Source organism: Homo sapiens, chromosome 9 (assembly GCF_000001405.40).
Source record: "Homo sapiens chromosome 9, GRCh38.p14 Primary Assembly".
NCBI classification, from domain to species: Eukaryota; Metazoa; Chordata; class Mammalia; order Primates; family Hominidae; genus Homo; species Homo sapiens.
In genome coordinates this window covers 423,366-442,076 of record NC_000009.12, presented here as the reverse complement: position 1 = coordinate 442,076, position 18,711 = coordinate 423,366, and the positions used below count along the sequence as shown (strand labels likewise).

At 41.7% G+C, this 18,711-nt stretch overlaps 1 protein-coding gene across 17 annotated transcripts in view; it reads right to left on the bottom strand.

The window, feature by feature from the left end:
- Positions 1-18,711, bottom strand: part of DOCK8 (dedicator of cytokinesis 8) — a 253,999-nt gene that overhangs the window by 23,179 nt on the left and 212,109 nt on the right. For all 17 annotated transcript variants that reach the window (XM_017015173.2, XM_047423927.1, XM_011518045.4 and 14 more), the window contains 9 exons: positions 15,096-15,192; positions 13,581-13,715; positions 12,223-12,375; positions 9,753-9,911; positions 8,102-8,202; positions 7,102-7,294; positions 2,689-2,832; positions 660-791; positions 68-202 (listed from right to left, as the gene is read on the bottom strand). In XM_017015173.2, coding sequence (XP_016870662.1) covers positions 68-202; positions 660-791; positions 2,689-2,832; positions 7,102-7,294; positions 8,102-8,202; positions 9,753-9,911; positions 12,223-12,375; positions 13,581-13,715; positions 15,096-15,192 — 1,249 coding nt within the window. The remainder of the gene's footprint in view (positions 1-67; positions 203-659; positions 792-2,688; positions 2,833-7,101; positions 7,295-8,101; positions 8,203-9,752; positions 9,912-12,222; positions 12,376-13,580; positions 13,716-15,095; positions 15,193-18,711) is intronic.

Sequence of the window (18,711 nt, the reverse complement as noted above, 5' to 3'; positions counted from 1 at the left end):
TGATGACCCACTCTAACTTGTTTTTGTAAAGTGTACCAGGTCAGGCGCACAGAATCACTTTTCTTACCTCTAGTCTATGTGAGATCTCAGGAAGCTTGGTAATTGCAGGCTCTTTGTAGACAAACTCCTGTTCATCCAAATCCCCAAATTTGGATCCAAAGAAACCAACTCGGAAGTAGGTTCCAAACATTCTCTTATGATCCTGAGGAACAAAATATAAAAAGCTCTCCTTAGTTATGTCATCCTGAGGAGCCACTGAGTTGCAAAGGGCAGGGGTCTCTCATTGTGTTAACAAAGCATTTTACTCCTATGGCTGATGTAAACAGAAATTACTCCTTAAAAAAATTTAATGCTTATGGAATAAACTTCAGAAATAACAACAAAAGGAATCCCATGAAAGATTTCTGGGACTTCTTTTAATTACACTTAAAAATTTCTCACATTTCCTGGTTATAAAGTAATTTAAGCTGTATGTTTTCACATATGGAATTTTGGTCCTCTGTTAGAAGAATTTCAGCCCTTTTCTGTTTGACAGGTGAGAGCAAAAGCAATGTGCTAAAGATAAATCACTCCCTGGAGAGGAAGGATGGCTAAGCATCTGTAGGACAGGGTCGCCTGCCACCAGGTAACAAGACCTGCCAGCCAGGCTCCCCGGCTACCTTGTTAACGATGCTGTCGAAGGCTCTCTGCAGCTTGCTGTGAGTGAGTGTCAGCTTCCGGAATTCTCGATGCGCTTCTAGGATGGGGATGACCAGCTTGTAGACCTCATTAACTGTCTCATATAAGCCTCCCTTGGAAAGAGGAGAAGAGCATCAGAGAGAATTTAATCCACTGGAAACTTAAGAAGAGCAACCAGAGGTCATTGTCCAAACAATGTGCTGGAGAGTGAATTTATTGTTGTATCACAGTATTTCACAGGGCAAGAAGGGGTATCTGAGCACTTTTGGGACAGTGGTAGCCTTCAAACTGAACTAGACACCTCGCTAAGTAGTCCTGTATGGCGATAAGTAAGGAGAAGAGCTTTCGGGGGAAAAAAAAATACTGGCTGAGTGCAGTGGCTCATGCCTGTAATCCCAGCACTTTGGGAGGCTGAGGCAGGAGGATCACTTGAACCCAGAAGTTCAGATCATCCTAGACACCATAGGGAGACCCCATCTCTGCAAAAAAATTAAAAAATCAGCCAGGTGTGGTAGCATGCTCCTGTAGCCTCAGCTACTTGGGCGGTTGAGGTGGGAGGCTGAGCCCAGGAGGTCAAGGCTGTAGTGAGCCAAGGCTGCATCACTGCACTCCAGCCTGGGTGACAAGGCAAGACGCTGCCTCAAAAACAAAAACAAAAACAAAACAAAACGAAAAGAAAAAACAGGAGAGAAGTTTGGTAGCAGGGACTAACAGCAATTCAGAAAGGCAGTTTTAGTATATTTAAATTTCATCAGAGGTCCTCCTCTAGCCAGATGCTAAATGTATGCCTCCAAAGAGTTAGTAGGATTCTAATTCATTTTGTTGAGTTTGAGGAAAAATGAGAGTATATTAGACATTTTCTGAATCTTGAAAAGGAAAGCAAGAATAGAGAGAAGACAGTTAAAACAATAATTAAAATAAATAAAATTGTAGAGAGGAAACTTGGAAATAAAAACTGGAAAATAAGGATGAGTATAGTATAGATGAAAACAAAATTGGGTCAGCTAAATATAGTAAAGTACTGAATACTTTCTTGGCTTAAAATGTAAAGGAGGAGGGAGATTATTAAAATGAAAACAAGTTGGGCGTGGTGGCTCACACCTGTAGTTCCAGCACTTTGGGAGGCCAAGATGGGCAGATCACTTGAGGCCAGGAGTTTGAGACCAGCCTGGCCAACAGGGTGAAATCCTGTCTCCTCTAAAAATACAAAAAATTGGCCGAGTGTGGTGGTGCACACCTGTAATCCCAGCTACTCATGAGGCTGAGGCAGGAGAGTTGCTTGAACCCTGGAGGTAGAGGCTGCAGTGAGCCATGATTGCACCACTGCATTCCAGCCTGGGCGACAGAGCTAGACTCTGTCTCAAAAAAAGAAAAGAAAATAGACAAGAGTGTTTCCTCTTTGCCCTGAATCTCAATGACTTCATCTCTCTATATATTTTTCTAGTATATATACTAGGAGTGTTTAGATCCAGATTACGTTAACCAGAGGAGTCTCAGTGGTTTCTGTGCCCACATTTCTGTAAGCTGGTCCTGGTCTGTGATGGTCCTTCAGACTGCACAGTGGCTAGGAGGGAAGACACTGTCTGTGTATTCCTCCTCTCTCCTCCCAGTGGTTCCTCCCTAATTTTTTTCTCTCTGAGAGGAAAAACGAGGGAGTGAAAACATGCCTCATCATTTATTGTGTAACCCTGGGCAGGCCATTTCACCTCTCTGTGGCTTAGTTCCACCCCTATTAAATAGAAATAATACTGTGAAACTGCTGCCCAACCAATGAGCATACAGTGAAGCTCAGATCGGCACTGTGATGAAAGGTTATCTCAGCTCCCTTGGGAAGCTCATGCAATTTGCATACATCAAAGTCCTCCCCGGGCCCATCCCCTGCCCCGCACACCCTGGCACGTGTCCTCGGGAAGTGGGGCTGACTGGGCCATTAAGACCAGGTGTTCCCAGCACCCCAAGTCCAGCTGGAGTATGGGAGGCCAGGCCCCGGGATGCCCTCTGGGCACTGACCGTGCTGAAGAGCTCCGCGGCCTGCTCCAGGAGGCCTACCAGGCCACTCTCGGTGAAGTACTGGCCTGCGCACACCCCATCCTCGTCAGGTGACAGGGTGTCCTCAGAGACCACAGACTCCTCCAGCACATTGGAAGAAATATTCTGAAAGAGACCACAGTATAAGCCTGGAGAACAGGGCGACCAGACTAGTAAGAGACCACAGGAACCCCGAATGGGGAAACGAGGAAGCTGGTGTGCAGATCCTTACCAAGACCGTGACTAAACTAGGTCTGTAATTCTACCCCGAGAGTATCTGTCTGCCATTCATTTAGAAGAGGCGCACTGAGCAACTGGTCTTCAAACCTCACGTTTTTCTTTTTAACCATTAGGAGATTTTGTATAAAGGACACTTACCTCAATGTCACAACAGCTGAGTTACTTTAGTGAAACAACCCTAAGGGACATAGGGCTGGTGTCCTGGTTTTCAAAAGGCAAAGACCCAATTAACATTAACTAGGCTCCCTGTTTCACCGAGTGGACCTCTGACTTACAGTGGTGTTTTTCTGAAGTATGTTGCTACTCTGGAGTTGACTCAGATAAACAGCCATGACATACGACAACAGCAAGCGAGGCTGTCTTCATTAAGGAAGTTTTCATGGCATTGCAGCAGTTACTGTGTGTGTGTTTTTGTTCTTCCTGAACATTTTGTTTCCATGCATTTGTTTCCTTTACATAAACTATTGCGTTTAGAGCCTCTAGCAGAGCATGCAGAGACCATGGTTGGGGTGAACCAAATGAGAAACCCAAGACAAAATTTAGAGAGGTACTCGCTTTTAGGGCCATGGAAGTACTGATCTTGTACCCGCTCGACCCTGAGGGTGAGTGCCTCTTCACCCTAGCACTGGCCCTGGCAGTGAATATGTGACAGGTCAAGAATCATTTTCTTCCTAGCTCACAGCTATGGAAGAAATGCATATGAAAAACAGAAGAAATGGGAAACCTTCCCAGTTTAGGGATTACAAACAGGTGGCACACATGCCACTCCTTCCTATTGCTGTAATCATGGCAGGCATAACTAATCAACTGTAGCACTTTTTCCCCAGAGCTTGGACATAGTCTCGAAATTCTTAAGCATAGTTCTCCAGTCAGCCACTACTAACTGATCAGAGTTGGCTTGTGAACTAAAAGCTGTCTGCCTTCTGGCCTGGTTAGCAAGATCATGTGAATCAACCTTAGCAATCAGTCAGGACATAGTTGTCATAGATAGCCCTATCTCTTCACATGCAATACTGTAACGTAGTTTTAGGAATATAGGAGGAGGCTCTCAAAGCCTTTGTGGCCAGTCTTTCTTCCAAACCTGCCCTATGTATTATGATGTTTCTGTGACAACAGAAGATCCAAGAAATTCAGTTGAAAGCATTTAATAACCCAAGATACTAATACTATTAGAATGTATGCAATTTTCCACATTAGAGGAACAGATTTGAAGCTATGTAGCCTCATTAGCTGTAGTCAGAGGAAAAGGATTCTGCAGACTTTCTTGGCTTCAGGATCAGGGAGGTACAAGTAACAGCAGTATCTAAGAATGTGTCCGTATCTACAGTTGTGAAATAAATATTGCACTCTGGGACACAGAATTTCAGTGATCTCAGTTTCCTGGAATTCAGTGACCTCAAAGTTATTTTCCTTGCACATATTTATTTATCTCTAGTTTATAAATCTTTTCCAAAAGCTCTATTTCATTGGAGCAGAACAAGGTTGAAAATTAAAGCACAGAGCATTTGCAAAATCAACACTGGACATCTGTTGTTAATGCTGTCTAGAATTCTTTCCTCCTTCTATAAAGTAAGGCATCCTGATTTAGGGGAAGAAATCACCCATAATTCCAGGTGTGGACCCATGACCCGGGGTCAGTAAATCAGAGCACTCCATTTCTCTGGCCAGTATGGCTGGTTCAGGGATGAGCACAGGATCAGATGTTCAGACAGGATCAGTAAGATGCACTGAGGCTTTCTCTGCAACTGCTAGAAAGGAGGCATCTCTCTTCTCTCCTAGACTTGAACCTAGAGATGTAAACCTAAACTGTGGTGTGGGAAGCCTGTGAAGAATGAAGCTGACACAACAGATGGCAGAGATGGGAAGTGGTGATGACAGTGAGCTCTGCTGACATTGTTTGGGCCCCTAGGTCCAGTATGGCAGGTGCTACTCCAGGCTCACATTCCTCAGACGGGCTGATAAATTCCATTTTTACCTTCTGTCAGTCTGGGTTGGGTGTCCTTTCACTTGCCAGCTACATTTCCAAATTGATTTGGTATGTCCCATTTGAGAGAAGTAAGAATTCACTCATACACATTAATATAATTTGGCTTCTCTTCTGTAGCTGACAACACCTAACTCATTGCCTCCTCTACATCAAGAAGCCCTCACACTTCAGTTTCTTCTGCCTTCCTTTTCACCTTCTTCACCCTTCCCTGACCCACAGGGCCTGGACCATAAATGCTCACAATATCTTGTGCCTCTTTATAACAGTATTTCTCATAATTATAACTGAACAAAGATTGGAATAATTAGTTATATTACGTCTCTCTGGTTAGAATGTAACGTTCATGAGGACAGAATAAGTATTCAATAAATATTCTCTAAAAGAAGGAATCAATGGATAAATATATGTGAACAGATAGAGCTGTATGCCCCCATGTCGGAATAATGTGGAATATTTCTGTTGATTGTGTAATAATGATTCACTTTGGCATGTCATTATTAGCAAATCAACTGAATTCTAGGTAAAATTAGAACAGTAAGGCTTACTAAATATAAAAGTCAATAATGAAATGCAATTGATATTTAAGTGATAAATATAAAATAAAATATAGTCATGGGAAAAGGAATAAAAGAAGTATAAAATAATTTAGTAAATGAAACAATATGAAGTGCTAAACCTTACAATTTCCTGGGAATTGAAAGAGTAGTACTATAATATTTATTTTTGATAGTATCACATGGTCAAAATAAATTTGAGAAAAGAAGCAAATACATCTAAAATAACTTTTATAACTTTCTTGTACACTTCTATGTGATTTGAAATCAGGTGTTATTTTTATGCTTTTGGATGAGATTTAATTATCAGCTTTTATAACAAACATTTCTGAATTAAGAAGAAAATTCATTTGCCAAGCATGAAATCACAGAATGACTATTTTTGTTCTTGAGGACCATAAGAAAGGAGGAGTTATTCATAGGAGGCAATACCCAGCTTTGCTGTGTTCTGGAAAACCAGAAGCTCTTGGCTGCACCAGCATAGTTTCAGTGACTTATTCTCTAAGCCTGGGGAAGCTACTTTGAATTGTTCTTTCTTTCTGGTTCATACAACATCACAAAATTGTGTTGAAGAACAATAACAAGAACAAAGCTTTTCATAAAATCAGCCATGTAAATTCAAACAAGAATAATACAAACCCTTGTAAATGACTTCGTGAGTCTGGCTTGAAAAACACTCTATTACTGTAGCTATATTGTTCATGGTTTCAGGGATGGTCATCTCTACAAACTATGTCTCTTACAAAAAAAGTACCCAACATTGTGCTTTTTTATTTTCTCTCTCTCTAAAGACTATTAAACTATTCAGTAAGAACACTTTAAGTGGCCACTGAGCATCCCCATCCGAGCCAGCTTTTAGGTCTGGCAGACAATTTCCCTTTGCCAAATGTGGGTAATTTTCAGCTTATCCTAAGAAGGTACTGATTCAGCCTTTTGTCTCCCTTCTCAGGTCAATTTGATTCTTTCTTGATTTTTGGATTGGAGAGTGGGCCCCTATAAAGTTGAAGAGTGGAATCAAATGAATGGGCCAGGAGGAAAATCATTTATCCAATGTTTTCCAAACTTTCACAATGTCAGTATACTGTGTCAACTACAAGTCTTTGAAAAAGAGTTTAAGTGACCTTAGAAAACTTGCTCTCTCAGTTCTCTCATCCGCGAAGTGGGAATAATAACCGCCTTCCCTACCTACCTGCCTCACAGCTTTACGGGGAGGTTCAAATGAAGCCATGCATGTGAAAGTGTTTGCAAATGTCTCCTAAAGTGCTATTAATAATGGCTAGGTGCCATTATTGTAAACAGTAATTTAAAAAAAACCCAACGACGATGGGAAAGCAATTAGAAGAAGCAAATGTAATGTATGAACTTGGAATTTTTCAACCTTAGCACTACAGACATTTGGGGCCAGACAATTCTTTGTCAGGGGAGCTCTCCTATTGCAGAATGTTTCACAGCATCCTGGCTTCTACCAGTCAGATGCCAGTAGCACCTACTCACCCATCCCAGTTGTGATAACCAAAAATGTATCTAGACATTGCCAAATGTCCCTGGGGCTGGGGGACAAAATCGCCCCAGTTGAGAACCACTGCTCTAAGGGAAAAGCTGCACACACCCTACCTGGAAGCTGACACTGCCCACGGGCAGGTAGCTGTGGTCCTCCAGCATGCTCAGATACTCAGCCACTAACGCAGCGGCGTGCACCAGGCACATGGCAGCCTCCGTGTAGCACTTCTTCTTGGTGTGTTTCTCTGCCATGTTCTGGAGCCAGGTCAGCCGCAGATCAGGAGATGCCTGGTAACTCTTGGCAATTCTGAAGACAGATTGAGTGAGAAGTAGTTTTGAGGACAGTGGGTTAATGACACTGTTCTTCTACTTTGTGTGACCTTTTCTTTTTTTCTCCCCAAGAGTTCCCTGTACCCCTCCACCTGAGATTTTGCCCTATATTTCCAGAAAACGAGACAGAAGAAAACATTTATTAGTCCAACTATTTTTATTCCATGTTTAAGCTGTGCTGACCTCCAAGAAATAGTACTTAGTAAAAGCCTTATGGGGAAAAAATACCTGATAACATGATGTCTATTTTAATGGCTCTCAGGCAAATTTCTGCCTTTTCTTTCCTTTCTCTCAAAATAAAACAGAAGACAAAAGTACTGCCCTTTGTATGATGTTGCATCAGAACAATTTTGCCTCTGTAAGTAATTTCTCCTGAACAAGGACTGGAAGACCAACTTTTAAACTACGCGTAAAAAATGATTTCTAAAGTAAAACTATATATGTATGTCTGAATATAATTGGAACAAAAGCATATGGAAAATAATTCCTATAACAGTTAATTATTCTTTCTCTGATTCTGTGGTAAGTAGAAGATAGTGTTATTATATTTAATAATGTTATTATATTTAATAACATTATTATGCCTCACTTTAAATTAGGGAGATCCTTCTGAAAACTTACATATGAATTAACCTACTCTGAATGTTTAATTTCTATATATTATTTGGCTATCATCCAAATCACTATATCCATGTTAGCTGTGATCATTACATTAGTAAGAACTCCACAGTGACAAATCCTCGACCCCCAAATGGTGTCCCTTGAGTGTGTCAGGAAAGCTTACCTGTACATGAGATCCATAAGCATCTCAGGATCTTCCTGAAATTCCCTCATTTTCACTGTGTCATATAAGATGCTATTCAGATTACAGAGAAGTTCCTCCACCTGCAAAAAGTGTAAGCCTCAAAATAATCTTAGCTTTGTAGTCCCAGGTGAAGAGTTAGGATTACATTGAAATGCAAGGGGAAGCCATGGGAAGGGTTGGATCAGAGGGCAGCAGAGACTAGGGATGGCGGAGTCATCTAGACCTGACTCTGTAGTTTTCATCTTCGCCAGCCCAGGAGTTTATGAGACCTGGATGTGTGTTGGCCCTTGAGATCCAGAAATCTGCCTGAATCCTCATACTATCTCTATCTCCAACATTTTTGTTTAAATTAGTTTGAACCAGTTTCAGTTATTTGTAACCTGAAAAGTTCTAAACTCTACTCTGGAATATCAGGGATTTTTATACCAAGTAGGAAGCAGCTTAGGACCTCAGCTTGAGTTCCATGTCTCAGAAGCCTCCTGGATCTTCCCAGGGCTTCAGAGATTTTAGAACCTCTTGTAATCATTTATTCTTAATTATAAAACCAACAGTGGAGGTCCAGGGGAGCCTGCAGTACAAAAACAGGGAGAGACTATGGCTTGATCTAGAGACCCTGGCAGGTAACTCAGCCACAGAATGTTGTCTTATCCCCGTTCCCCTCTGCCAGCTTGCCAGGGCTCCTAAAATTTCTACCACTAGAGTCATTTCATTGGGTGAAGGCACTGAAGACCTTTATTAAACTGCCCATAGTTTGATTGGTCTTGTTGGTGAATACCTCTATATAAATGATGGAACTAAAGGAGTATGGTCAAGATGAAATGAGAGAGGAACGATTTGATGTAGAGGAGAGGAAAAAGATTCTGAGAATGAGGATGCAACATTGCCCGAGAGGGCAAAACAGACTCCGGAAATAGGGTTCTCAGACTAAGGGAATAAAAGAAAACATTCATTCATTCATTCTCACTTAATTAAGACCCTACCATAGAGCAGGCTAGGAGCTGGAGTTAAAAGACAAATGGGACAGGCTAGAGTTCCACGGTCATCGTAATGGACATGGAAGAGATGACTGTCCTTACACATTTCCTTAGGACAACCTTGTTTACAAGCTCTCTCAAACTCGGCCCTTCCTTACCCCTCACCAGACAAGCTGGTCCCTTTACCATCCCTACAGATACAAACAATTCATTGTTTCAACTACTCACAATTTCCCCCTCACTTTTCCCCTGCCTAGCGGAATCCTACCCCAGCCTTTAGTGTCATCCCTCCCTGCAGGCTTTCCTGGCCACCAGATTGTTTATTGATCACGACCTCTCTTCCTCTAACCTTCCATAGCATTTAGCTCCTTACCACACAGTTTGCACTTATGTATCACTTGTCTTGTACTGCCTCCTAATTGTTTTGAGACTGAGCACTCCAAATAGACTGTTAGCATATTGAGACTGGGGACAGTGATGGATGTATTTCTTTTTAAAACCTCTCAGAGTGCTGAGAGCACATGCATATTGGACAATAAATACTTGCAAATGTTATATATTTATATATAAATTGTGTATATATGTACATACATACATACACAATAGTTGGCAGATCCCAAACTCATGCATGAGACAAGGTATGTGCTTCGGTGTACCTGGGTGGGAAAAGGAGTCATCTGCATGGCTGTGTCCTCTTCTGAATAGGCCAAAATTGTCCTCAAGGATCTTCTCAGGTGCTCTTCATTAAAGTCTGGTGCTCTTCCCACCAAAGATGCCAGGGACATGGTTACTTGCATCTTTACTCTTGCAAAATTCTGCATCAGTGAAAAAAAAAAAAAAGATGAAGTAAATAAGACACACTTAGCAGTAGATAACTGAAAGCAGCATGGCCAGACACAAACAACTCCTCAGTGTTTCCTTTGCCCCGTCTTAATTATTTCCTCTTCTCTCAATGAAATGGGAGCTACACTTTGCACAACATTCATATTGTTGTTTAAATGGTTTAAATGGACATTGCTCTCACATAAATCTGTCAGGCTCCCTTTAAATTTTCATTGAGGACTGGGCTGCCTTTGTGCTGCAAGCTGGAAGATTCTTATAAAGTTGGGTCCAAGAATACAGTATATCCTTTTGTGCCAAGAGTTTCTTCTTGGGACTTTATTTAAACTTTATTAAAAGAAAGGGACTTCTGGCTCAGCCTCCCAGCACTTTGGGAGGCCAAGGAGGGTGGATCACTTGAGCTCAGGAGTTCAAGATCAGCCTGGGCAACACAGCAAAACCCCGCCTCTACTAAAAATACAAAAATTAGCTGGGCATGGTGGTGGACACCTGTAATTCCAGCTACTCGAGAGGCTGAGGCAGGAGAATTGCTTAAACCTGGTAGGCAGAGGTTGCAGTGGGCCAAGATCTCGCCACTGCACTCCAGCCACGGTGACAGAGCGAGACCCTGTCTCTAAATAAATAAATCAGGGGACTTCTGTGGCCAGCATTTCTGAGATTTTGAACTCCGGGTAAGCAACAAGGTTTTGTTTCTTCTTTCTTTACAGGCCCATGGAAAAACATGGCTACCTCAAGGTCCCCTGAGGAATGTCTTTTAAATAATCATCCCTAATACATTTGGAGGAGGCTGACTTTTTTCCATGGGCCAATTTATCTTTATATATCACTTGAGCATACTTATTAACATGGCCACAAATGGAAATTCCAAAGAAGGTATCAAAATCTAGACAAACTAAAGCAAACTTGACTGTTCTATAATAAAGCTGAACTCCAAAGTCTTCGTAGCTTTGAATAAAACTCAAGTCTTGGCTAGGCAGGATGGCTCATGCCTATAATCTCAGTACTTTGGGGGGCTGAGGAGGGAAGATCACTTGAGCTCAGGTGTTCTAGACCAGCCTGGGCATGCAGCAAGACCCTGTCTCAACAAAAATGCAAAAAAAATTAGCTGGGTAAGGTGGCTCGTGCCTGTAATCCCAGTTACTACATGGGAGGCTGAAGTAGGAGGATCATTTGAGCCCAGGAGTTGAAGGCTGCAGTGAGCTCTGATAGTGCCACTACACTCCAGCCTGGGTGACAGAGCAAGACACTGTCTCAATAAATAAATAAATAAAATATTAAAATAAAACTCAGGTTAGATGACACCGATCATTTAAAATCCTCTTCCACAGGTCATTCTGGCACTAGCTAGTCAGAATTTAGAAACAGGAAACACTCTTCTGAATTCTAACCTGTCTATTGTATTTTTTCCCCCACAGATGATAACTTTTAATCTAAAATACTCTTCCATTTCTTTCTTTCTTTTTTTTTTTTTGAGACAGGGTCTCAGGCTGGAATACAGTGGCACAATCTTGGCTCACTACAACCTCTGCCTCCTGGGTTCAAGCGATTCTCGTGCCTCAGCCTCCCCAGTAGCTAAGATTACGGGCGTGTGTGCCACCACACCCGGCTAATTTTTTGTATTGTAGAGACGGGGGTTTCACCATGTTGGCCAGGCTAGTCTTGGACTCCTGGCCTCATCTGATCTGCCTGCCTTGGCCTCCCGAAGTGCTAGGATTACAGACATGAGCCACTGCACCTGGTTATTTTATTTTATTATTATTATTTTTTGAAATGAAGTCTCACTCTGTTGTCCAGGCTGGAGTGAAATGGGGCAATCTCGGCTCACTGCAATATCTGCCTCCCAGGTTCAAGCAATTCTCCTGCCTCAGCCTCCCAAGTAGCTTGGATTACAGGCATGCGCCAACACATCTGGCTATTTTTGTATTTATAGTAGAGACAGGATTTCACCATGCTGGCCAGGCTAGTCTTGAACTCCTGACTTCAAATGATCCACTCACCTCGGCCTCCCAAAGTGCTGGGATTATAGGTGAAAGCCATCGTTCCTGGCCCCTGGCTGTCTATTTTAGAAACACACTGATAGAGACCACTGCATTTATCTGATGAATTCACTTTTAGATGCAAATTAAAATGGAAGCTGCTATCTATCTACATACTCAATTGTTTCTTTCTCACAGGACAGAAGTAAACTGCAATACTGCAAAATTTCCTTATTTTTTTTCGCAGCTGATGCTTTACATCAATTTTTCTCTACTGATTCCAGGTCACTCAGCTGGTTTGAACTCTTACACTGGTGGCTCCAAAACTGAACCTCATGAGGAGGTAAAGGGTGGCACAGGCTTGGCTCCGGGTGACATCCATGCTGCTGCTGCAGTGGTGCAGGACTTGGTGACATAGGTCGAAACACTGTTCCACCTCCTCTTCAAAGAGTAAGTCTCCAAACTAGGAGAGACATAAAGGGCCATTAGGCATCACTTGGCAGTTTGATACACTTTCTGGACCGTTGAAATATGCAAATGTCCATTTGGACAAGCAAAAAGCCTAGAAGAGTTAATGCATTATTCCATAAAGATAATGAGCTATGTGAATCAGAAGATGGATTTAAGCAATGGAGTAGACTTGAGATTTAATAATGAACTGTCCAGCTAAAAGGGTCAGAGCTGTGTTATCAACTGCACTGTGAGCCAGGTCGCATTCACTGGTGAAATCACAACTATGATGGAAGGAAACCTGAGTTTCTTGGGTTCCTGGGAAATTACTGGTGATGAAGAAAGAGAAAATGGTCCTGAGAAGGATGAGCAGAAGAATTTTACTTTTTAAATTTAAAAGACCCCATGTAGAAGGCACCAATTGAGATCTTCAATAAAGGGAAAAATAGGCCAGGAACGGGGGCTCACGCCTGTAATCCCAGTGCTTTGGGAGGCTGAGGCAGGTGGATCACTTGAGGTCAGGAGTTCAAGACCAGCCTGGCCAACATGGTGAAACCCTGTCTCTACTAATAATACAAAAATTAGCTGGGTGCGGTGGCACACGCCTATAATCCCAATACTCAGGAGGCTGAGGCATGAGAATCGCTTGAGCCCAGGGCGCAGAGGCTGCAGTGAGCTGAGATGGTACCACTGCACTCCAGCCTGGGCGATAGAGCGAGACTCAGTCTCAAAAATAAATAAATAAATAAATAAAGGGAAAAATAATCTGCATGTTACCCCAGGATAATCCTCATTCCTCAGGCCGTGAGAAATTCATTTCTGACCTTCCTGGCATTTTATGGCATGACATTTTGTAAGACTAATGGGCGTCACATAGAGGATTTAATCTCACTCAGCAGAGGTATTACAGAGAAAGAGTGAAATTGCTAAGTCACTCAGTTGATCTCTGTTCTCATGTCATAGACCTTCAGCGAATGGCCATTTTAAACTTCTAGAGTTAGGTCCACACTTCAAATATGGGAGCCACTGCTTTTCCTCTCCATGGTGGCTTCCCACAGAATCAGGGCATCTGCTTTCTTCCTAGGAAGACTTAAGACCTTTACTGTGATGCCACTTAATATGCTCTGTGACTTTTGGTCCACCTGAAGAGAGAAGTATGAAGCTAGATGAGAATCTTACTCTTAATTAAGAGGAAGAAAACAAGCATCCCAAGTTTACCTTGGCGATGAGAGCACGGAGTGTTGCAAAGCAGTGAGTCAGGTAGGTGGTACTCTGATCACAGTTCAGAGAATTCACCAGCACCCTCAGAACACCTCCCAGCAGGCTGTCTTTACAGTCCAGAGCCGAGCTCGCCTGGGGGAATGGAAGAACAGCATCATTGAATCCCTGCACTGTGCCAATGAACTGGATGTTCCTGACAATTAGCTCAGTAATGCTGATGTTCCATGTCCAGTGGTGAGTCTTAAGAGTTTGGTGAGCCACCATGGGTATCATCCATTAACCATGGGAACTGAAGACCTATTTCCAAATGGCTTTATTTCAATGCTTCCAATGAGTTTGGGATTTATACCTAATTCTGGGTTCCTAAATGAAGGTATAAGGCCCATCTCCCTCATCCTGGGTCACATCTTTTGGAAAGTTCTTTCTTTGTATACAAGACATAGCTTTCCTTATGGGATGCAAAACACAATTGTGGGCTTCCCAGTACAACAGGGGCTGCTTGGTGGCAGCAATGTTTCTAAATAGAAGCTTGTTTATCACCTACAGAAGGACTAACAACACCAAGGATAATAACAAAAGGTTTCAGCTTTCTTTGAAAACTGCAAATATATTTGGGGGCTAGTATAGATATTTGGCACCTAATATTGTGCTATATAAAGATAAGGTAAATGTGATACCAAGCATTTAAGTTATCAAAGATATTAAAGTCAACAAAAATATCACATACTTTTTGTGTTTATTTTTGTATGATGATTACTTTGATTTTAGACAATTCAAAAGTTAGAGAATTAAGATTTCACTGTGTTTCAACGATATTTCTTCTAGCCCTAAAAGCAATCCTGGACCTACTCTAATGAATGACTTCTCAATGGAAACATGTAAGAACTCATTTTTCAGGGTAATTAAAAACTCATTATTACCTAGACAGCTTGGGAATTTGTGGAAATAATCACATAGAAGATAAAATTAGTATGGTACAAAGTTCACAAAGCTATATTTTTCTACAGCAGGGATGGCAAATTCATGGTACAAATGACTTTCCTTAACAAATTTAAGTCCAAAGAAGACATCATTTGTCAAATTTAGCACTCTTTTTACCTAGCCTAGTCATAATCATAGCTCCCATATCAGACAGTGACCATCATTCAACTGGAGTTGACCCATCAGAAAAAATTCTACTTACCACTACTGTTCTAGATACTAAACGATAAACCCAACATCCATATTATAAACTTGGTACATACTCACACAGATTTAACCAAGAGGGTCAGCTGGCCAAACACCTAACCCTCTCCAAGTAAGCCCTAAGTCAAAGAAGCCAGAAGAATGTTTGGTATCTCTGGAATTTATAAGGTAGACACTGTTGTAAATAGTAAACTTCTCAACTTCATTTTTTTAAAAAAGGTACTATGGGATCACATTTATGTCTTTCACAATTTTGCATAAAGAAGTCCTTATTCTAGTAAACATATTCATGGCCAACAAATCAGATTGGGTGTTTGTTTTCCTCACCTGGATAATGTTTTCCTGCATATCCAGGATGATTAAATGTGCTTCTGTAGCCAGATTGCCACTGATCAAGGCTTCTTGATCTAACTCGGCCTTTGTTCTAGGAAACAACAAGAGGTCAAATTAAAGCGCATGTCAAACCTGGCCAGGTTCCCATGATGGCAATCTATACACCAAGGTGTAAAGAAATCTCCAAAATAGTCAACCTTGAAATGAAAACAGAGCAACTGGCCCTGAGTAACTACAGTGCAGGTGCCTTCTGTGATTCATGTCTTGTCGAAACAACTGTCTAGGTAAGGTTTCCTGGTCATCCTCATCCCCACTATTATTAATAATGATGAGGACAATTATAAAAATAACACTATGGGTAGAGAAGCAGTTATTAGTTGCTACTAGCAATTAAGCTCCCCTCTCAGATTGTTGCCTAAAGCCTCAGGGCCATGGCTGTATTTCACGCATGAAAACCATTGCTAGATCTGAGTAAGGGGAAGCCCCTGCAACATGCGAGAGAGAGTGAGACTGGATGTGATGTGAACTTGGCAGTGATGCGGCTGGGTTAGGAAAGGGTGGAGCTTCAGAGCCAAGTCAGGGGAGAGTCAGCCTCTTAACTTCCCAAAGATCACCTTGAGGTTGCTCAGCCAAGTGCGTGGGGTCTTTCGTCCTTTTCCATTGGGAAACAAGACTGTATTCCTGTAGGGCAGGTGATCTAATATCCTGCCGGACATTACTGGTCATTGCCCACTAGGGAATGGGAAATTGCCTGGTGCTCGCTCCTCTATTAGGTTTCACTTTAAGGAATCAGAATGGTTTTTTTTGCTAGCCCATCCATTCTTATGAAATCTAAGTGAAGCTGTAAAGGGATATTTTGTATCATCATCCAAATCTAGTTGCAAGGAAAGGGAGGTATGAAGAATTGACTTTACCAAGATGCCTCAGTAGCCAAGATGTTACCATGGGGTTGGGGTATCATTATATCAGCTCATATGTCCTGGGCCAGGGTTACCACTTACCTGTTCTTGCGTCCCATTAACCTAATAATGGGGGCACTGCAGCTGCTTACATACCACTGAGGACTCAAAAAATAAGTACTTCTGTGTGTTTTACTTGTTTTCATGTTTAGGATAGGCTCTCTGGTCCCAAGCCACTTGACACTTTTTCTCATTTTCCAAGTGATAATATATGTGTAAAATAAATGAAATCTAAAAGTTTTTTTTTTTTTTTTTCCTTAGAGACAGGGTCTTGCTCTATCACCCAGGCTAGAGTGCAGTGGCACTATCATAGCTCACTGAAGCCTCGAACTCCTGGGCTCAAGTGATGCTCTGCCTTAGCCTCCTGAGTATCTGGGACCACAGGCATGAGCCATCAAATTTTTATATCGTGATAAAGTACACATAACATCAAATTTACCATTTTAACCTCATCATCCTTTTTTTTTTTTTTTTTTTTGAGACGGAGTCTCCCTCTGTCGCCCAGGCTGGAGTGCAGAGTGCAGTGGCGCAATCTTGGCTCACCGCAAGCTCCACTTCCCGGGTTCACGCCATTCTCCTGCTTCAGCCTCCCGAGTAGCTGGGACTACAGGCGCCCGCCACCGCGCCCGGCTACTTTTTTGTATTTTTAGTAGAGACGGGGTTTCGCCGCGTTAGCCAGGATGGTCTCGATCTCCTGACCTCGTGATCCACTTACCTCGGCCTCCCAAAGTGCTGGGATTACAGGTGTGAGCCACTGTGCCCGGCCCCTTATCATCCTTTTTAATTAATTGACTGCTAGTTTAGTTTTAAATTTAGAGCAATGCTGTCTAGTAGAAACAATGGGGGCCACATATGTCATTTTATATATTGTGGTAACCACATTAAAAAAGTAAAGAAAAAGTGAAATTATTTTTAATATATTTTGTTTATCCTAAAAGATAAAAAATACTGTCTCCATGTAAGCAATATAAAAATTACTAGTGAAATATTTTATTCTTTTATTCACAATAAGCCTTCAAAATCTGGTGCGTATTTTTCACTTATCTTGATTTATTATCTCAATTTGAACTAGCCATATTTCAAGCATTTGATAGTCACATGTGGCTAATGGCTACTGTATTGGACAGCACAAATCTAGAGTGTCCTAATCTGTTTTTTCCCAAATTTTTGTATTGTGATAAAGTACACCTAACATAAAAATTTACCATCTTAACCATTTGTAAGTATACAGTTCAGTAGTGTTAAGTACATTCATATTGTGCAACCATCACTAACACTAATCTGGTTTTTTAAAAGCTTTACCATCTGACCAGGCGCAGTGGCTCATGCCTGTAATCCCACCACTTTGGGAGGTTAAAACAGGTGGATCACTTGAGCCCAGGAGTTTTAGACCAGCCTGGGCAACATGGTGAAACCCTGTCTCTACAAAAAATACAAAAAGTAAGCAGTTGTGGTGGTACACACCTGTAGTCCCATCTACTTGGGAGGCTGAGGTGGGAGGATTGTTTGAGGCCAGGAGGGTAAGGCTGCAGTGAGCTGTGATTGTGCCACTGTATTCCAGCCTGGGTGACAGAGTGAGACCTTGTCTCAAAAAAAGAAAAGAAAAAAAAAAGAAAAGAAAAGCTTACCATCTATTCCTTTAAAACAATGGATTTGGTGGCAATAGAATCACCTGGGAAGTTTTACCAAATACTGATTTCTGGGTCCTGCTGGAGTTTCCAATTGAAGTAGTCTAGGGTGCAGCTGGGCACTGACAGGTTTTAAAGCTCCCCAGGTGATTCTAATGTGCAGCCTAAGTTGAAGATCATTGCTCTAAAAGAAACAGAGCCAAAATAATCGAAAAATGATCAGAAAGAGGGTGAAAGACACCATTATTATAATTATAAATTTTCCAGGTAGGTAGGTTGAACAGTTATAATTTTACTATGGTTTCCCTTTTAAAAAAAAAAAAAAAGCACAAAGCCCCTGAGAATTTGTAGATGTGAATCATTAGCTCTGACAACCAGCAGCCCACCAGGTAGCGCAGGGCTGAGAACTAACCTAGAGCAAACCGGTAGGCCATGCGTGGTAAGGACCAATATTGTGTTGCTCCTGCAAGCAAAAGGGAAAGGTTTTCCAAAACACCAGTTTACACAGCCCAGGCAAAACAGGCCTACTTAGGGGTCTTCTTTTAATCTAGTAGAGTAGATGAGCTAAACCACCTAAGCAATTCTGTAGCACCCACGGCATGCATATTTTGTAGTTGTTGTTCATTGCCCGAAGTAGAATGTATGGACTCTCCGATCCAAGTATTTTATAAATCAGTCCAGGGAATTTAGTGCAAGAATAACATACCCAAAGCAAATAGGCATGATACCAACAACTGGGTTTCCAAGTCACATCTATAATAAAAATATACTTATTTCTTTAATGTTTTAAAATAAATGTGACTCCCCAAAGTCCCATAAGTTAACCAGAATGATTCATTCTTGTGGTAACAATAAAGATATTAACTCACATTTATTTACAAAACAGCACTGCTAATCAAGTCTGCCCCATACCCCCTTTGATGGGTGCTTCATCACCCATGGGGTATCCTACCTTGTCAACTGTGTGTGAGGGGTGATTTTAGCTCTACGACATTTTGCTCAGCAAACCCTGGGACTCATTAG